This window comes from Homo sapiens, chromosome 8, assembly GCF_000001405.40.
Source record: "Homo sapiens chromosome 8, GRCh38.p14 Primary Assembly".
NCBI lineage: Eukaryota > Metazoa > Chordata > Mammalia > Primates > Hominidae > Homo > Homo sapiens.
In genome coordinates, this window is record NC_000008.11 from 128,081,240 (window position 1) to 128,100,125 (window position 18,886).

General features: G+C 45.8%; 1 long non-coding RNA gene across 51 annotated transcripts in view, besides 1 other annotated feature; it reads left to right on the forward strand.

The window, feature by feature from the left end:
- Positions 1-18,886, forward strand: part of PVT1 (Pvt1 oncogene) — a 306,733-nt gene that overhangs the window by 286,716 nt on the left and 1,131 nt on the right. For 30 of the 51 annotated variants that reach the window (NR_186144.1, NR_186156.1, NR_186146.1 and 27 more), the window contains one exon: positions 15,279-15,415. This is a non-coding gene — a long non-coding RNA (Pvt1 oncogene). Of the gene's footprint in view, positions 1-1,513; positions 1,610-9,008; positions 9,050-10,007; positions 10,115-11,270; positions 11,411-14,452; positions 14,579-15,278; positions 15,416-18,130; positions 18,335-18,886 lie in introns of all 51 variants that reach the window. The other 21 variants (NR_186151.1, NR_186131.1, NR_186136.1 and 18 more) reach the window with 9 other exon arrangements.
- Positions 14,578-14,827: an enhancer, noted in NCBI's record as "active region_27959". NCBI's record gives its function as "activates an Ori minimal core promoter by ATAC-STARR-seq in GM12878 lymphoblastoid cells {active_cell/tissue: GM12878}" and the evidence as "EXISTENCE:reporter gene assay evidence [ECO:0000049][PMID:35858748]".

The window sequence follows — 18,886 nt, forward strand, 5'->3', positions numbered from 1 at the left end:
AAAATAACTTGCTGGGATTTTGACATACCACAGATTGTTTATCTATTCACTTATTGAAGGACATCTTAGTTGCTTCCAATTTTTGGCAACTACAAATAAAGGTGCTACAGACATTCGTACATAGGTTTTTGTGGGAAGAGGAAATCTACTCATTTGGGTAGACACCAAGGAGCGCAATTATTGGATCACATGGTGAGACTATGTTTAGCTCATTAGGAAACTGCCATAGCTATATGTTTTTTGCATTTGTTCAGAGATTTTTCGTTACAATGTCACTAACATGATTAATCCTCAGAATAAACCTTTGGGTTGGGGGTTATTAGCCTTGCCTTCTGGCTAATGTTATTAAATGTTATTGCTGAAAGAAACCCTGAAGGTTCCTAAGCCTCTAAGCTTTCTGAGTGTGAGATCCACATCCCCTATCACTGCTCTTCTATGGCTTCCATGGCACCGTGAGTATAATAGTTGCTGAATTAGTGTCCACTACACACTGAATACCAATAATGGAAAAACCACTTCACTGTACAGATGAAAACACAAAGGTCCCAAAACGAGAAATGAGATACTTCTGGCCAAACGGCATTTTAACTAGTAACAGAACCAAGGCTAAAACTAAACTATTGTAGATCCGTAGACCTGTATTTTGAGCCACCAGTCCTTGACTCGCTACATTCAAGCAAGACAAGCTGGAAGATTCTTAAATCTGTAATTAGTATTGTATTGAACACCCCCCCTCACTTTCAGGCCTACCCACTACTGACTGCCATTACCAGATAGCCCAAAGACGCCCAAAATGGTGTTCTAATCTGAGTACAAGGCCACTATAGCTACAAAGTCTCATAGGGTAATGAGTGATAATAGCAGTGACAACAATAATAAAAATAGCCAAGAATTATTGATTGCTTAGTATTGTCAGGGTCTTTGCATATATTATTTCATTTTACACTCATAGCTGCCCCTTGGTTCAACATCATTACTAGCCACAATTTAGAGATAAATAGATTGAGCTTTAGGGAGGTTAAGTAACTTGTTCGGGGTGCTACAGCTTTCAGTGGTAAAGCCACATGTGTGTCCATCCATTCTCGACTCCACTTAGCAATGTACTACTTTACAGTTAAAATAATGAGATTTAGAGTTAGATGGACCTGCATTCGTATTCTGGAGCTGCCATATTGTCAGTCATGTGATCTTAACCTTGTGACTTCTAGCTGCAATGTTCCCATCATGGGGTAGCAACATCCATGGCAGACGCTGTCTCTTGTTACCTCAAAACCATTGCCTCCCACTGTACAGAACATCAATATGTTCAAAGGGTTGGCAGGAGGCACCAAGTCTCAGGGAAGTCAGACTCTTATCCCAACCTGGTGACTGGTTTAAACTAGATATGGTAATGGCAGGCAAGTTACCCAGTCTTGTTAGGAACAGTATGCTGAGGAGGGAGTCTCTTCTCAAATGAAAAGGCAAAGCCCCTTACAAAGGAAGCTTATTACTCCTTTCCTTTCTTCCTCCCTAGATCTTGGACATGATACCTGGATGTGCAGCAGCCATCTGGTAATTATGAGGTGACAAGTCAATAGACTGAGATGGTGGAGCAGCAAAGATAGAAAAGGTCTGGATTTTTTATAGCATTGTTGAACTGTTCCATCAGCCTAAGACAGTTGACTATCTCCAGACTTCTTGTTATGTACAACATGTCCTGTTGTTTAAGTCACTCTAACTTGGATTGTTTCTTATTTTCAGCTGAAATTATTTCTAATAGATATACAGATTTCCAACAAAGCACAGTGTAGAGCAGCTTAACATGGTACCTATGTGCCAAAGTTCCAGAGCAAGAGTTCCTGGGTTCTAATCTTGGCTCTGTGGCGTGACTTTAGACAAGTCACTTAGCTTCTCTGTGACTCGCTTTTCTCATGTATAAAATGCTCAGTAACTGTGTATTGACTGTTGAATAAAGGATAATAGTGATACTGAATTCATATGATTGTTAGGATCATCGAATGGCTAAACATTTTATAAAATGATTAGAACATCGCTTGGCGCATTGTAATTGGCTGCAGATGTGCTTGTCAAAGTAAAATTAAAAGAAAAGTAGTCACTATTATAGGCCTGGGTTTGCATCTTGATCCCATCATTGGGCCACTTGTGGTATTTAAGCAGAACCTTCACCCTTTCACTACTGAGGCTCATAGAGCATGAAACTCCCCCTAAAATCTGTCTCAAAGCAGCCACAATGGTGGTTTCTTTTTGACAAAAAAAGGCTCCTTAGAGAACGTTGGCTTGCAAAGGAGAGGCTGTGACTACCAAGTCGTGTCAACAACTGAATGGCTGAAATACCCAAACTTGCCCATGCAAATGGGCTTGGGTCTCTCCTGGCAGCCGCCTTTGAAGGCTCTAGACTTATCTGTGAACTCCTTTTTTGAGAGGGTCTTTCCAACTAGTGGTTTATTCTTTGACTCTCCTCATACCTTTTTTGCCAGAGAGTGAGAGTGAGAAGGGAGGGCTAATGCCTGAGCTCCTGCCCTTTCTATGCAGTGAGGGTCAAGATCCTCAGCTAGTGTTTGAGGGAACTGGTGTAACCTGGGTCTCTCATTTTCTACCATCCAAGTTGCCACCTCTGTCGGGGTCCCACTCTAATTTGGGCAGCCACTAAGCAATATTTTGAAATATACCTTGTTCATGAGTTTAAAGGATCAACTGGTAGGTGTGTCCATTAGCAAATCCTATGGAACAAATATCTGCTCTTTTTACCCCCTACTTACCTTCTCCACCAAGGACAGTTCAGACAAAGTTGTCACCACCTTTAGCCTGATTTACTGCAGGAGCCTCCTAATCTATCTTCCTGTTTCTACTCTATCCTTTATCCCCCCCTTGGCAGCCAGGGGATCCTTTAAAAATGTGAACCAAAGCATGAGACTAAACCACTCAAAATCTTCCCATGGATCTCATCTCAGATTAAAATCCTAAGTGCCTTCTCTGTCCTTAGTGAACCCCAGGTGCACCCTTCCTCTGCCACTTTCCCCCTTGTTTATTCTACTTTCCACACTGGCCTCCTTGCTGTGGGCCAGACATATCTGAGACCAGTGTGGCTTCAGGGCTTTTGCACATACGATTTTCCTTTTCTGGAACACTCTCTCTTCCTTGCACATCTGCCTGGCTCTCTGCTCAGATGTCAACTCTCAGAGAGGCCTTTTCTGACCACTCCCTCTAAAAGAGTTTCCCCCGCCCCTCATTTCCCATCATTATCTGTAGTACTGATGACTTGCAGATGTTATTACAAATTTGGTTATTTTTTGCATCCTCCAGCAAAATGTAAGCCAAGTGAAGAATGAGGTATCGTTTTGTTCATCAAGGAATCCACAGAAACCAGAACATTCTGTAGCAGGTGATCACTAAATATTTGTTAAACTACAAAGAGCCATTTTAGGTTAGAAATAAGGTATAGCTGACAGAATTCTAAGCCTGATGTTTCTTATGAGCCTGCTCAATTGGCCCTGAAACCACTTCCCAGAAAGCTCTAGATATGTTCTGAATAATGGGAGCAATGCTGGACCAGTGTTTGAGGTTCCAAAGTGAATACATGAAAGTGAAAATGAAGCTACATGTGACTGGATGAACCCTCTTGCATTGGTTTAAAAATCCTATTCATCATGATTAGTTCACGCTCTCTTTTTCTTGCTTTGCTCCCAGGCACCAGACAAGTCATTCCAAATATGGGGTCTTGGTACCAGTCAGAACGAGGTTCCCATCTGTGGTGGTTTAAAAACAAAATGACCTTGTTCCTTGATATTCTTTCCATTGAAAGATGGGATATATGACTTTTCCTTGAGTCTGTGCAGGCTTGTGACTGCTTTATGCAGCTCCTGCCTGGTTTTCTGAGCATAATTATTCCAGGGAAAGCACTGGGACTGTCAAGCCGAAGAGGTCCCTGGTGGGTGCTCTTGTTTGTAGCCTCAGCTGAGCTCCCAGCATCAGCCAGCAATCCTGAGAGCCGCCATCTTGGATGCACATGTAGGCCCTCTGCACCTTCAAAAGTCCGCGGCCCGGCTGACATCTGACTACAAGGGCATGGAAAACTCCAAGTGAGAAGCACCCAGCCAAGCCCATCCCAAATTCTTGACCAAAAAAATCATGCAACATGAAACAATTATTGTTTTACAACACTAAGTTTTGCAGTAAATATGTAATCCACAATAGTAATGAGAACCCCACCTTAACTCTTCCTCCTATGTACTAGGCAATCATGAGAAAAACCTTTTTTTTTTAACACTCTGGGCATCAGGTTTCTCATCTGTAAGTTAAGAGTGATAACATATATTGATGTGGTTGTTGTTTCAAGCAAAAGCAAGTTTTGTCCAAAACCTAGCACGCTTCTCCACACAAACAATATTTTCTCAAACTTAAGATGCTTTCATTTTACGACTCACCCTTAATTCATGTGTACTAAGAAAGAAACAAATGCTTCCAATTAAACTACTGCATTACTGTATGCCACTGGTTGTAGGACACATACCTGTTTTGGAGATATTGAAATTTGAAAAGATGTATGTCTTAGCATCTTTGATTTAAAGACTGATTAACATAAGCACCTAGCTAAGCCCAGGCAAAAAACGAGATCCCCAAGATTAGAGTTTGTGAAGTGTAAGAGGAGACATTAAAGCAAATGTACCTTTGTATGAATGTCTCCAATCTGCCATTCTGTTTTATACGATAAAACACAAAGATTAGTACAGACATCCTTGTGGTCCAGACAAAAAGTGCCTTCCTTGTCAGCCGTCGAATGGTTAGAATTCAAATGACATCATGTCACAGTTATTGAGCCAAAATGTATTTTGCAAAAGGGATGAAGTCAGATCCCTAAATCTGGCTGTGAGTCGATAAGTTGTTTTCAGCAGTAACTCATCCCTAGTAATAGTAATAGTCCAAGCCCCATTTCTCTTTGGTTCTTGAGAATTTCCTTTTTTTAGGACACGAACTAGTAGTTCCTTGAGTATTCCAGCCAATGGGCAGAGGGGGGTCTAGGCAGTGGGCAAAAGGATGACACAGGGAGACCCAGGGCCACATCTAGGGGGACAGAAGCATAAGCATCAGCTTCCTAGCAGGCTTGACGTTAAGTGTTCACATGGAGCTCTGCAGTTAGTACGGCTGCCCCAAGTGCTACTATGCTAATCCTCATGTGAAAGGCAAACCTACTTCAGGACAAGAGGGGTTAAGTCTCTTCCCCAAAGTCACACAGCTTGATTATGTCAACTTAGACCATCAGACACCAGAGCCTGTACTTATACCCACAGCACTGTACTAACAAGAATGTTTGCAAAGACACAGAAATAGTCATAAAAGGCTCCAACAAACCCAAAGCTCACACCACAACAGCTGTCTTGTCAGCTTTACCTAAACAGAGAATTTCTTTTCATCCATACCATCTTACTTTGTTCAGTATGGGTTTTCCGATAAGGATGTTCTTACCTCCTTCTCTTTCTGGTAAAAACCAAAACATCCTTCAAGACCCAGCTCAAATGGAACAGCTTAACTCCTTGTTCCTACAGGGTGGGCCCTGGCTGCGTTTGGCTCCAGCATATTGTCCCTTGGGCTGCATGGCTGGCTCTCCTGGAATTGTTGGGAGTGGTTTCTGTTGATTACTCCTATTGGACTGGAAGTTTCTTGAGGTTCTGGAGTTAGACTGAGTTTGACTCTATGATTTACAGCTATGTCCTTGGACAAATGTCTTAGCTTTCCTGAGCTTTAATTTTCTTATCTACTTCCCAGAATTGTCATAATGCAGCGTCTTTGCTTAGGTTGCACGATCAGTGCCCAATATTGTTTACTGTTATGTGATTGGCAATAGTGGAGCATCTTTGTGCATTATCTCAGTCTTCAATAGCCCTCTGAGGTAGGTTCTTTCACTACCACCCCTTTTTCACAGATGAGGAAACTGAGGTGAAACTTCTTGCCCATGGTTCCACAGCTCAGATGTGACAAAACTGGGCTGTAATCGTACCTTTTTAAACTCCCTTCCCTCGATGGAATCCCAGTGAGAGCCTCCATGAACTGATTGCCAAGGATGTTTTGTCATGTATCAGTCTCTTTAGATGTCTTTTAATTCAGATCTTAATTTTCCACTCATTTGTGCCTAGGTGACATTATCCTAGTTTGCCGGAAAATGATGCTGCAACCAGCTTTGTCTCTGTAAACTGTGGTTGTTTACACATTTCAGGCATCTGGCAATAATGTGTCCCTCCCCCAGGCTGTTATGCGTGGCAGATTATTAACACCACAACTGCCGTTTTAGTTAATGAATCAAAAACATGGATCACTCCCATTATTGGCCTTGAAAAGCTCAAGCAAACTCTTAAGCATAACTAAGGGCCCACATCGTTTTCCAACCCAAAGAATGCCAGGGCTATGCCTCCTATTTACTTTGAATGATTGGCTCACCAAAGTTTTTGCTGGTTTTCTGTGTTGTTGCAATCATGGAAACCCTCTAACTCTGCTGACATTCCTGATGTGCTACTTTTTTTTTTTTTTTTTTTTTTTGAGATGGAGTCTCGTTCTGTCTCCCAGGCTGGAGTGCAGTGGAGCAATCTCGGCTCACTGCAACCTCCACCTTCCACCTCCCAGGTTCAAGCATTCTCCTGCCTCAGCTTCCCGAGTAGCTGGGATTGCAGACACGTGCCACCACACCCGGCTATTTTTTGTGTTTTTAGCAGAGATGGGGTTTCACCATGTTGTCCAGGCTGGTCTCAAACTCCTGACCTCAAGTGATCTGCCCACCTCGGCCTCCTAAAGTGCTGGGATTACAGGTGTAAGCCACCGTGCCCAGCCGCTACTTGTTTTTTTTCCCTCAAGACATAACAGTTAAATTCCCCAAACAAAACAAGTTTGATTTTATTTGCCAGAAAATATTCTGAGTAAGCAGAACAAGATCCATTACTAAATCAAGCCTCACCCCATACCTGGGCAGCCCCCTCAGCAAGTTAGGTGCCTTGTTTGGCAGAATGGTGGAGGTCTTCCTGTCTAAGCATGGATCTCGTGAAAGCCCATGGGCTCAGCGCAGGGGCCAAGGTTAATTCACGGTCCCAGCTCGTGGCGCAGACTTGCCAGTGAAAGACACACTCAGGGCTTCAGCAATGTCCTTGGCTGCTGGTTTACCTTCACTTTCAGCAGCAGCAGAGGGGTTGGTCATACCTGAGGTGGAGAAAGATGTTGGGGCAGGGGTTGGGGGATGGAGGTAATATTATTGAAAGCCTACTTTGTGCCAAGCACTGAGCGAGGTTCCCCATTTGCAGGTATTCGGGGATTGTCTACCTACTTACTATTGTTAACTTCTAGTTTCTTTCCATTGTCCTCAGAGTAGATGCTGTGCACGACTTCAGTCCTTTGAAAGTGGTTGAGGTTATTTTATGGCTCAGTGTCCTGTGACGAATGTTGCATGTGCACCTGAAAAGAATGCATCCTCTGCAGTTTGGGGATGGAGTGTTCCATAAATATCAACTGTGAAAGGTCCAGTACTCAGCTGGTATAGACTCACTGTTCAAGAAAAACTCGTTCTTTCACTTATTGCCATGATTACCAGATACACCCACAAGCAAGAGGCTATTTTGCTAGTTGTGTAGACCAGCGGTTTCGGGAGAGAATGTAGTCTTCACTCTGCAGTGAGCTCAGAGGAGGAGAGAGGGGAAAAGTCCATGTGGGTGAGAAGGCACTGCCAGGCCCTGACCCCAGGAGGCAGGTGCTGTGCCAACTTGTCCTCCATGTGGCCCAAATAAGAAGAAAAGGCCAAGAACTCTAAACAGATCACTGAGGCCAGGGGAAAATATCTTGAGATTTGCTGGAGGGAGGGAAATTTACCCATGGAAATGAGAGAAGTTATGTGTGGTAAGACCCCTTCTCATCTCAAGCACAGCCAAAACTGATCTGATCAGAGACCTACTGTCTTAGTCCATTTTGGCTGCTACAACAGAATACTGTAAGACTAAGTTTACTTCTCATAGTTCTAGAGGTTTGGAAGTCCAAGATCAAGGTGCTGACAGATTCTGTGTCTGGTGAAGGCCCAGTTCCTCGTTCATAAATGATTGCTTTTTTGCAGTGTCCTAATGTGAAGGAAGGGGCAGGAGAGCTCTCTGAGGTCGCTTATATAATGGTACTAATCTCAGTCATGTGGGGTCCACCGTCATGACCATCACCCCCCAATAATGGTAGTAATCCCAATCATGAGGAGGGCTCCACTGTCATGACCATCACCCCCAAAAGGCCCCACCTCCCAATACCATTACCCTGGAGGTTAGAATTTCAGCATATGAATTTTGGGAGGACACAAATGTTCAGTCTATAACTGGGATGCAAGGATTCAACATTGCCCCTGCCCTTCTGGAATTTGCAGGCCATGAGGGCATACAGATAATTAAACACACAATTACGCATAGCAGGGTGTGGGGGGGGTCATAATTGGAAAAGTATGTTGAGATTAGAAGAAAATCATTCTTTCTTTGTTTCTCCCTCTCTCTTTCTCTGTTACACATATTTGCAGACAAACCAGGAGGATTTCCACAGGGAAGCTGAAAGGGGAAAACAACAGGATCCTATCTATAAGCCTATTAGAAACCGTTAGAGAATGATTTCATGAAGAGTAAGGAACATGTGAGTTCGCTAGGGCCTCACCCACTAGGATCAGGAATGCTTGGAACGTTTTTTGTACCATAAACCCTTTTGGCAAACTAGAGAAGCTATGGACATCTTTTCAGAATAATGCTTTTAAAATGCATATAACAAAATCCTCAGATTTTATTTCAAAGGATTGCAAAGAAAACCAATTGTGTTGAATTCAGTTCTATGCATAGGCCTTCCCCTCCACCTCACTCAATCTATGGGATGGGGACCTGAATGTTTATGGACTAGTGGGGAGATACTTTGCAGAGAAAGAAAAAAGTCTTTCCCAGGGCCAGCAGTTTTCTATATTTATGGAATTCGTTACCTCCAAGGAGGGCCTGACTGGAGTTTTTACTTTCAAATAGGTTTGGGTAACTCCACGCAAGACTGTCTTTACCTGCCTTTGGTGAGCTTATGGTTTCTGTTTCTTTTCTCAAAAGACTGCGTGCCCAAACTTCCAGAAAGCAGACATATTGATGCAGTTGAATTGCCCACCTTTTACATTTCCCTTATTGTTCCATGGATGGAGTATAATGAATTGGCAATGGAGGGAAGAGAAAAGTTAAAGGCTGACTTTGATGGGGGGCTAAGTCCTCAGAGAACGTGTTTCTTAGGGAGCCTTTTGTCACTTGTTAGGCTTTGGAATCCTCTTTGGGAGTTCACCAAACAGAGAGTGCAGCCCAGGAGGATGGGGGGCTGAGGAGAAGTCAGAGGTTCAGGGAGGACCCAGGTCATATTCTGGGAGGTGGCAGGGGCTGTGGGTCCCATGAGATCAGACACTAGTTATGAAGGAACTACTGGCAGACACTTTGCTCATTAATGTCACCCCCCATGCTCATTACCACCCTAGGACCTGGGGTCCCCACTATACCACTGAGACAACAGTTGCTGAGCATAGTTAATCCAAGATCATCCAGTGAGCAGCAGTGGAGCTAAGATCTGATTCCACATAATCTAGGCTCCTAAATATTTTTTTTTCTATTGCCACATGCCCAGCGACCTTCCTGCGGCATGGAGGTCGTGGGTGCAGCTTGTGGAGTCAGGTTGCCAGGTTTCGAGTCTAGCTCCTCTATTTAAATAGCTTGATGATCCCAGGTCAGTTCCTGATCCTCCTCTGTAAAATGGGAATAATTTTTTCACCTTTCCCACAGACTTTCCTGGGGGATTAAAGGGAGAATGTATCTAAAGCTCTGAGCACACGTGCCTAGCATGTGAGTGCTCCGTGAATGTTAGTTACTGTGATTATTTTTAGCCCAGCAGGACAGGGAGGAGTGTTAGGTCCCTGGGGGCGATCACTCCTCTGTTTACTCCTCGGACTGTCCCGGCCTGGCAGGCGTTCATGAGTTTGTTTCTCCTGTCCCAAGGTTGCCCTGGTGCTCTGCAGTGGCAGGGCTGAGATGATTATACAACCTGCACTCCAGGCCAAGTCCGGTACTCGTCCCAGCTGTCGGCTAAGCCTGCACTGCTATGGGTGAGGGAATCACTCCTCTCCAGCTGGCTTTCTCACGCTGGAGAAGCCTGACCTTTATTCAGAATCATCCTCCAGCGCCCACATCACACAGCACCCTGGCTCACCCGCTCCTCCCCCAACATGTCCTTTACATTCTCATCTGGGGAGATAATGGGGCTCCAGTGTCCCCAAGACAGCTGCTTTTCCTTTCTTCTTCATTCGTGATAACTCTCTGTTCTCCAGAAGTGCTGCTTAGACTCTAGAGGGATACATGAAAGAGCGGTAAGGTGACAAAGAAAACAGCTGGGTTCAATCCTGGCTGCATACTCAGTGTGGGACAGAACAAGTGCTCTACCTTTAAAGTTACTTATCAGGATAATATACAGTATTTCATGTATATATACATACATTTATAAGATGTAATAAATTTTTGTAAAGTTGTGAGGATGGTAAAAGCTTAGCCCAGTGCCTGGCACATCATAAGCACCCCACAGGTGTCAGCTGGCATCATTAGCAGTCATAGGAAAACTCAGGGTATGTCTCCATTCCAGGCTTTGTGGCATATGGGTCTCAGTGTCCCCATTGTCCTGTGGGGTTGCTGAGAGCTGTCCTCATAAGATTGTGAGGGTGGGAATATGAGAGGAGTTTGAGAAAGCTGAAGCCTAACAGGTCAACAACCGGACTGAGCTCTCCCCTTCTCCCCTGGGCCGTGTGCAAGCTTTGGGCCTGGTGGTGACACCTACCTCTCCATCCCACCTGGCGGGCCCAGCTGACCCTCCCAGTGCAGGGGCTGGGAAGCTGCAAAGAACCCTTAGGCTCAGAATTTCCTGCTGTCAGCCAGCCCCCCTGCTGTTTCCCATTTATTTTTCTCTATCTCCTTTTCCATCTCCCCTTCCAGCACCTTCTGAAACTCCCTAGTCCTGTACTACCAACACACCAACCTTTGCTTAATTGTCACGTCAGACAGATGGCTCAGGTGTCCCCAGCTCCCTGAAGCTCTTCCCTTCCCCTCCCCTGGGCAGGGGCCTCAGGCCTTCCTCTGACTGATCCAGCCCACCTCCCAGTGTCCATACTATTAGGTTGGTGCAAAAGTAATTGCAGTTTTTGCCATTACCTTTAATGGCAGCCCCGGCACCCTGGCCATTGGCCCCTGGACAGCTGTTCACTCCCTTCTCAGGCTTGCTGGGGACACATACGTCATGCCCTGAAGCGTTCCGGAACCGGTAGGGGCTGCCTGTCCTGCCACTCACCCACTCCAGCTAGGAACTCCTCAGTGGGCAAGATAATTGAGCCCAGGTTGAATTATGACGTTCACAGGTAAGAAGCAGGGTTCAGATGAGGGCTGGGTCTACAGCCAAGTGTGGGAGAGCTGGTGAAAGCCTTGAGAGAGGCAGAGACTGGCCAGCCTCACCCTGCATTCCCAATCCCCTCCTCTTTGTCAAAATCTTACTCTCAGCATGGTGCCATTACCTTTAATGGCAAAAACTGCAATTATTTTTGCACCAACCTAAATACTTTTGCACCGCCAGGAGATCTCCTGCCATCTATTCAGTCTTCCATCCCGCTCTCTGGGGCTTTATTCTTTCTGTTCTTTCTGCTTCTTGCTGCGCACGGTGCCCCCACCTCCTGTGGCTGAAATGCTGCCCTCTCCCATCCTGCCCAGATGCCTCTTCCACCAAGCTTTTCTGACTGCCGCATCTGGAATAATATATATATGCAACTTTAAGATCTGTCTTTCTTTTTTGATCTTTTCATATTTTTTTATTTCTATTTTGGTTATTTGCTGCCATGTTCCTTAAGGAAAAGATTCTACCCTCACAATGCCTAAGCAGCTTGGATCACGGAAAGAGCTTGGGCTTCTCTCCCCACTTCTGTTTTCTCATCAGTAAAATGGGGATAAGCATTGTAAATAACCAACCCTCTTAAGAGTTGCTGTAAGGCTTGGCCAGGAGCAGTGGCTCATGCCTATAATGCCAGCACTTTGGGAGGCCGAGGTGGGCGGATCACCTGAGGTCAGGAGTTCGAGACCAGCCTGGCAAACATGGTGAAACCCCGTCAATACTAAAAATAAAAAATTAGCCAGGCTTGGTGGCAGCTGCCTGTAATCCCAGCTACTCAGGAGGCTGAGGCAGGAGAATCTCTTGAACATGGGAGGCGGAGGTTGCAGTGAACTGAGATCGCGCCATTGCCCTCCAGCCTGGGGGACAAGAGCAAGACTTTGTCTTAAAAAATAAAAAATAAAAAGAGTTGCTATAAGGCTTGAAAGAGGCCTTTGGCACGACTATCACCTCCCTCAGGGCTCTGCACATTTTTTTCTTTTTTTGAGACAGAGTCTAGCTCTGTCACCCAGGCTGGAGCGCTACAGCACAGTCTCGGCTCACTGCAACCTCCGCCTCCCAGGTTCAAGCGATTCCTCTGCCTCAGCCTCCTGAGTGGCTGGGATTACAGGTGCGCGCCACCACGCCCAGTTAATTTTTGTATTTTTAGTAGAGACAGGGTTTCACCATATTGGCCAGGGTGGTCTCAAACTCCTGACCTCGTGATCTGCCCGCCTCAGCTTCCTAAAGTGCTGGGATTACAGGCGTGAGCCACCGTGCCGTGCCAGCTCTGCAAGGAACCAATGAATAAGTGATTGAATGATTGAATGGATAAAGGCCTTTACTGTTCTACTTGAGGCTGTCAAAATGGATAGGTTTTTGCTACAGTCCTCACCACCCCTCTTAATGCCATGTCAGCAGCATGGCATATGGACCTGCAAACCCAGGCTCTGCATCAGGTTGCCAGGTCACCTAAATGACAGCTGTGAATTCTTCTAAAACAGGGGTCAGCAAACTATGATCCGCAAGTTAAATCCAGTCCACAGCCTGTTTTTGTACAGCTTGCACATTAAGGATTTTTGCTACTTTTTAAATGATTTTTACATAGAAAATGTTACATTTTTAAATGTAAATGTAAATTAAATGCAAATATAAACATTTACATTTTTAGATGTTTAAATAAAAAAATCACAAGAAATGTAATTTTATAGCATGAAAATTATAGGAAATTCTATCATTAGCACTTGTAAATAAAGTTTTATTGGCACACAACTATGCTTGTTCATTTATGTATTGTCTACATAAGCTATAGTTGGTGTGTGCAGAGCTTTCACTCAATGATGGCACAGTTGAGTAGTTTCAACAGAGATGGGATGGCCCAGAAAACCAAAATATTTACTACTTGGCCCATTACAAAAAAATTTTGTGCTGATCCTTGGTCTGTGAAACAGGAGCAATGATGAATACCTACCCATCGTGTGTGGGTAAAATGTTAAAGTGCTTGATATCAAGTGGGCACTCAAGAAAAGTTTTTCCTTCTACTCTCTATTCCTCCCTGTCTTCATTCCCTTTCACAGAGGGCTCTTTTATTTCAGGGTCCAAGCCATGAAAACCATAGAAAAAGGATGACAGGGAGAATCTGAACCAGTACCATGCCCATACCAGGCCTCAAAACAGCAGAGCTGTGTTTGTCATCTCCACCTTCCTGCTCCAGAGCCTCCCCAGACCTCTCAGTCTATGGGACTGTTGGTGGACAGGCAGAGTTTAAATCCATTGCGTCTTTTGCGTCTCGTGGTTCCAGATGTGGATGGGGCCAGCCCTGCATGACCAGCCCCGGAGAGCAACTTCTATTAGGTTTATCAGAGGCTGGACAGCGTCCACTGCATCTTTTCTTGCTTTGGGCGTTTTAAAACTTGGGCTGCTGTTGCATAGGAGATTGCAGCTGCAGTTTGGCTTGGCTTAAGATAAGATGCAGCCTCTGGGCTGAAATTGAGGGTCCTGATTCTGCTTTGAGAGATGGTATGGCATCCTGAAAAGAACCGAGATTTGGAATCTGGGCTGGAATCCCAGCTGTGCCCCTCACAAGTTCTAGGATTCGTACCTTTTGCTTTTTCTGAAAAGTGGGGGTGATGCTTTTTCTTGGGGTGAGGGTGGGGTGTTGGCAGGGTTCTCCACCACGTAAGCTTGAGGGAGCAGGGTTTTGTCTTTTTCTGCACTGAAGCCCAGCTTCTAGAACAGTGCCTGGCTGCGGGTGAGCACTCGGCAAATACCTGCCTTAGAAAGGTGATTAAAAGATGTAGAGTTCCTGGCACACGATAGAATCTCATTAAGTGGTCACATTGCCATTGTCTGTACTCAACCAGGAATTGGCACACTATGGCCCACAGCCTGTTTTTGTAAATAAAGTTTTATTGGAACACAGCTATGCCCATTTCTTTACATATTGTCTGTGACTGCTTTCCTGCTATAGTGGGGGAGTGGAATCGTGAGACAGACCTGTGCCCTGCCGAGCCTAAAATATATATTGTCTGGCTCTTTACAGCAAAACTTTGTGGTTTCTGCTCTGAATGTCAGGGTAACCCTGTCTGAGGATGATCACGGATTTCATTTTCCCTTGTTTGTTAGCGTTGCGGTCAGCCGCAAGTTGAAAACAAGGAACCAGCTTGAGGTACGCATTCTCGATGCCCTTTCTAAGATACTTATGGAGACTTTTCTTTTCCACTCCAATTCTGCCATGCTCTTTCGGCATGGTCAGAGCTGGCTTCTCTGTGCCCTCCAGATCTCATATGTAAGATGGTGTTACTTTCATTTCTTTGTAAAAAGAAACTCAACCCACCTGTCAATTGCTGGTATATTCATTAGGGATTAACCATGGGTCCTGCAACAAGTAGGCTCAGAGCACAGAGGACATGAGTCAAAATAAAAAAAGATAACCAACCAGGTACAACTGTGCTTTGTAATATTATAGAATAGAATGCTGATGGGGTTCAGGAAGGAGTCCACTGTGTTTGTGGGGCACAGGATACATAAGATTCTGATTTACTTTTCCATCATGGTGAATGGCATGATCTTAGACACCTTAGTTAGCTTTATTCAAACTCAGTTTTTCAATCTGTAAAATGGCAATGTTCACTATATGTTGTCACTCTCTTTGATGGGCAGGGCCCACAGTTAGGAGCCTCTCGAGGCCTTGGTATCTAGAATGGTGAAGGAGAGCTTTCTGGAATGAGTGAACATGTGTCAAATGCTCTGACGTCCTCATTTGAAGGGGGCCCTGTCCCCTGTACCAGCTGAGCAATGCGAGTGGGCCACTGTCCTGCTACCATTTTATAGTCAGCGGATCTTTTTTTTTTTCTCTTTCTCTCCAGAAGGACAGAATAACGGGCTCCCAGATTCACAAGCCCCACCAAGAGGATCACCCCAGGAACGCTTGGAGGCTGAGGAGTTCACTGAGGCTACTGCATCTTGAGACTCAGGATGAAGACCCAGCTTGGGGCTGTCAAAGGTGCGACCTGCCAGCTGAGACCTCCAGGGGTCGAGCCCAGGCCCCTTTGCCTTGTTCATGGCTTAGGCCAGTGCTTAGCATATAGTAAACAACTTGTAAATGTTTATTAGAGGATGTATGGTGGGTCATCCCTTCTGAATGGCACACAGTCCATTGTCATTGTCCTCAGAGGCTCCAGCCTCAGGTGCTTCTTAAACTGCGATGGGAATGATGGCAGCAGATGGGCCCAGGGCTCAGCATGAGAGCTCACAGCAGGCTGTGCTCCACCCCACCCAGGCCCCCAGTCTTGCCATGTTTCCTCTGCCTCCCCAGGCTGGCCTAGAAACTGCTTCCAACTGAAACCAGCCAAATGCCTGCCCCTAACCACACCTACAACTCTAGGGTTACCTTTAGTCTAGATCAGGGGTCCTTAAACTGTAGCCTTTGCTGGGTACAGTGGCTCACACCTGTAATCCCAGAACTTTGGGAGGCCAAGGCGGGTGGATCACTTGAGGTCAGAAGTTCGAGACCAGCCTGGCCAACATGGCGAAACCCCATCTCTACTAAAAATACAAAAATTATCCAGGCATGGTAGCGCACATCTGTAATCCCACCTGCTTGGAAGGCTGAGGCAGGAGAATCACTTGAACCTAGGAGGTGGAGGTTGCAGGGAGCTGAGATAGCGCCACTGAACCTCCAGCCTGGGCGACAGAGTGAGACTACTTCTCAAAACAAACAAACAAACAAAAACTAAGCCTTTGGGCTAAATCTGGTGAGTGTTCTGTGCTTGTAAGAACTCTGAGTTAAGAATAATTTTTATGTCACTAAAGGGTTGAAGAATACAAAAAGAATATTCAGCAGAGACCATCTGGCTAGCAAAGCCTAAAATATTGACCCTCTGGCCCTTTACAGAAAAAGTGTGCCAGTCGCAGGATTAGGCAGTACTGACCACACCCCAGGCTCCCTGTGAAAATTTCAACCACACAGACTCATTTCCTTTCTCTTATCAACACTGAGGCAGGTGTGATTATCATTCCTTGTAAACATGGAGAAACTAAGGCATGGAGAGGTTTAACTCGTTTACCTGAGAATCTATTAAGTAACAGAGCCAGGGTTCAAACCCAGGCAGTCCAGCTTCAGAGTCCATACTTCCTAGCTGCACTCTGGGCCTTCAGCGTAGGGATGAGCTTCAGACAAGAACTCCCCTCTTAATTTCTGCCCTCTCCTGCCCCACAGCCAGTGGACAGGCATTTTGCACCCCAGCCTGCCCCCAGCCAGCTCCTACTCAGAGATTTCCTGCAGGGACTTAGACGAGGCTCTGGGACCACCCTCCTTTTCTGCCCTACCCGGCACCTGGAACTCTGCTTGATCCTGCTCCCTCTGAGGCTGGACACATCTCCATGAGCCAGGCCTGAAGTTCTTCCCCTCTCTGGACCTCGGGGCCTCCCTTCCTAGGGGCAGTTCCTGTGTCCCCTCTACTCTCTGCCTTCCCCCCGCCCCACCATGTCCTTGGGGCTGGAATTGTAGTGTGCAGCCTTGGGAACAGGGCTGGGCTCAGGGGTTGGGAACAGAGGCCCAGGGCTCTGGCTGACCCTCTCTCATCCCCAGGAGGAGAAGCTGCTGTGTTTAGAGTGTCACAAAGAACAGTGCTGGAGGCTTCAGAAATCTCGGGAGATTCTGAACTTCTAGGCGGAGCAGATGGGATGGTGCCTCTGTGATCAACAGGCCTGGCAGAGGGGTGCAGGAGGGGGTGCGAATGGAAAGACAGCTGCCAAGGGGAACGGAGAGCTTTTCAAGTCACCCTTGTCCCCTCCCCACCCCACCATCAGGGCTAAGACTAAACCTCACCATCCGGTTGCGGCCTCTCGGCCCTGGGGATGGAGATTAGTACATGTAGAGTGGAGGTAGAGAGGCCATGTTCTGGTTGTGTGACCTTGCACAGGTTACATAACATTCTGTGCCTCACTTTACTTGTTTTTAAAATGATGAAGATGATAACTACCTGGCAGCGTGTCTTATATTAGAGATAATATGGTTCCTGGCACTTTGTAAGCACTCGGTGTGAAATTGTCTTCTGCTGCTCCTCTTCATCAGTCCACCCCTCCTCTGCAGAGGTTTCCTCCATGCTGAGCAAGCTGGCAGCACCTAAATTCCTGTTAGTGCACCCTAGTGCCTTCTGCCCAGGCCTCGGGACCCCCAGGGATCCTGGCCCCTGTGGACAGGGACTTTTGTGCCCTCCTTCTCTGTTACCAGCAAGAGTGAGTCCTGCACTGAATTTCCATGGGATCATTGCTTGCTAACATTTGTGAGTGAGTTACTGTCTAGAAAGCAGCTTTTCTGGACTTTTCCCATTAATTTCACGAAAGTTATCTTCCTTTGCCCTTACTACATGTTCATTACTACAGGTTCATTACCCCATTTTACAGACAATTAATACTCCGAGATGAAGTGACTCACCAGGGGTCGCCTAGCTAAGCAGTGGAGAGTGGGCCTCCCACCCAGGCCTTCTCACTCTGACTCCTGTTCTCCACGTCATTGCATATGGCGACATGCGGGTCACGTGATCACACATCCCTAGCCGATATGGAATTGTGAGCTTCTCCTGGGTCTTCCGAGGAAGGATGCTTTCAGGAGTGCTTTGGAATGAAGGCAGTGGAGGCCAAGAGACCTCTAGGTCAAAGCCAGGCGGGAGGGTCCTCTCAGGGGCCCAGCCGACAAGTTGCATTTCTCCCTCAGAGGCCTGAAGAGGCAGAACACCCCAGAGGAGCCTGGGGCCACCACCCAGCATCACTGTGGGAAAACGGCAGCAGGAAATGTCCTCTCGCCTGCGTGCTCCACCTCGGTCCACGCCTTCCCTCCTTCTGGAAGCCTTGCCTGACCACTGGCCTGCCCCTTCTATGGGAATCACTACTGACCTTGCAGCTTATTATAGACTTATATGTATGCAGAAATATAATTTTAATTACTTTTATATTGCTCCGAGAGTGATACCAAATCATGATAGAAAATTTAAATAAACAAAATAGCCAAATTAATACCAGTAATCACCCCAGTCAAATATACCCAGCTCACATTTTGATGTAAAATCTTCCAGTACAGTTTCTATGTACATATATATATTTTTAGGAAGGAGATTATATTTTACATGCTGTTTTCTAGAACGTTCTTTTAAAACTGTATCATAAACATCTTGCCTTATAATTCAATAGTCTTCTACAACAAACTTTGCTAATGAATTTTTTTTTTTATCATGGTCACTGTTGTGTTATGTGCATCTTAGTTTAGCATCTTCAGTTACGTTATAAGTGTCTTAAGCCCTCAGGTTCCCCAGCCAGCCGCAGGGTGGGTTTGTTCATTGATTGATGGCTGTATGGGGTGGAGGAGGGAAGTAGAAAGTGAGTGAGATTTGGGTAAGCAAACCTGGGTTTAAATGCTGAGTCTGCAAATTCCATAAATTCTCCTTCCCTCCCTCCCTCCCAACCTTCCTCCCTC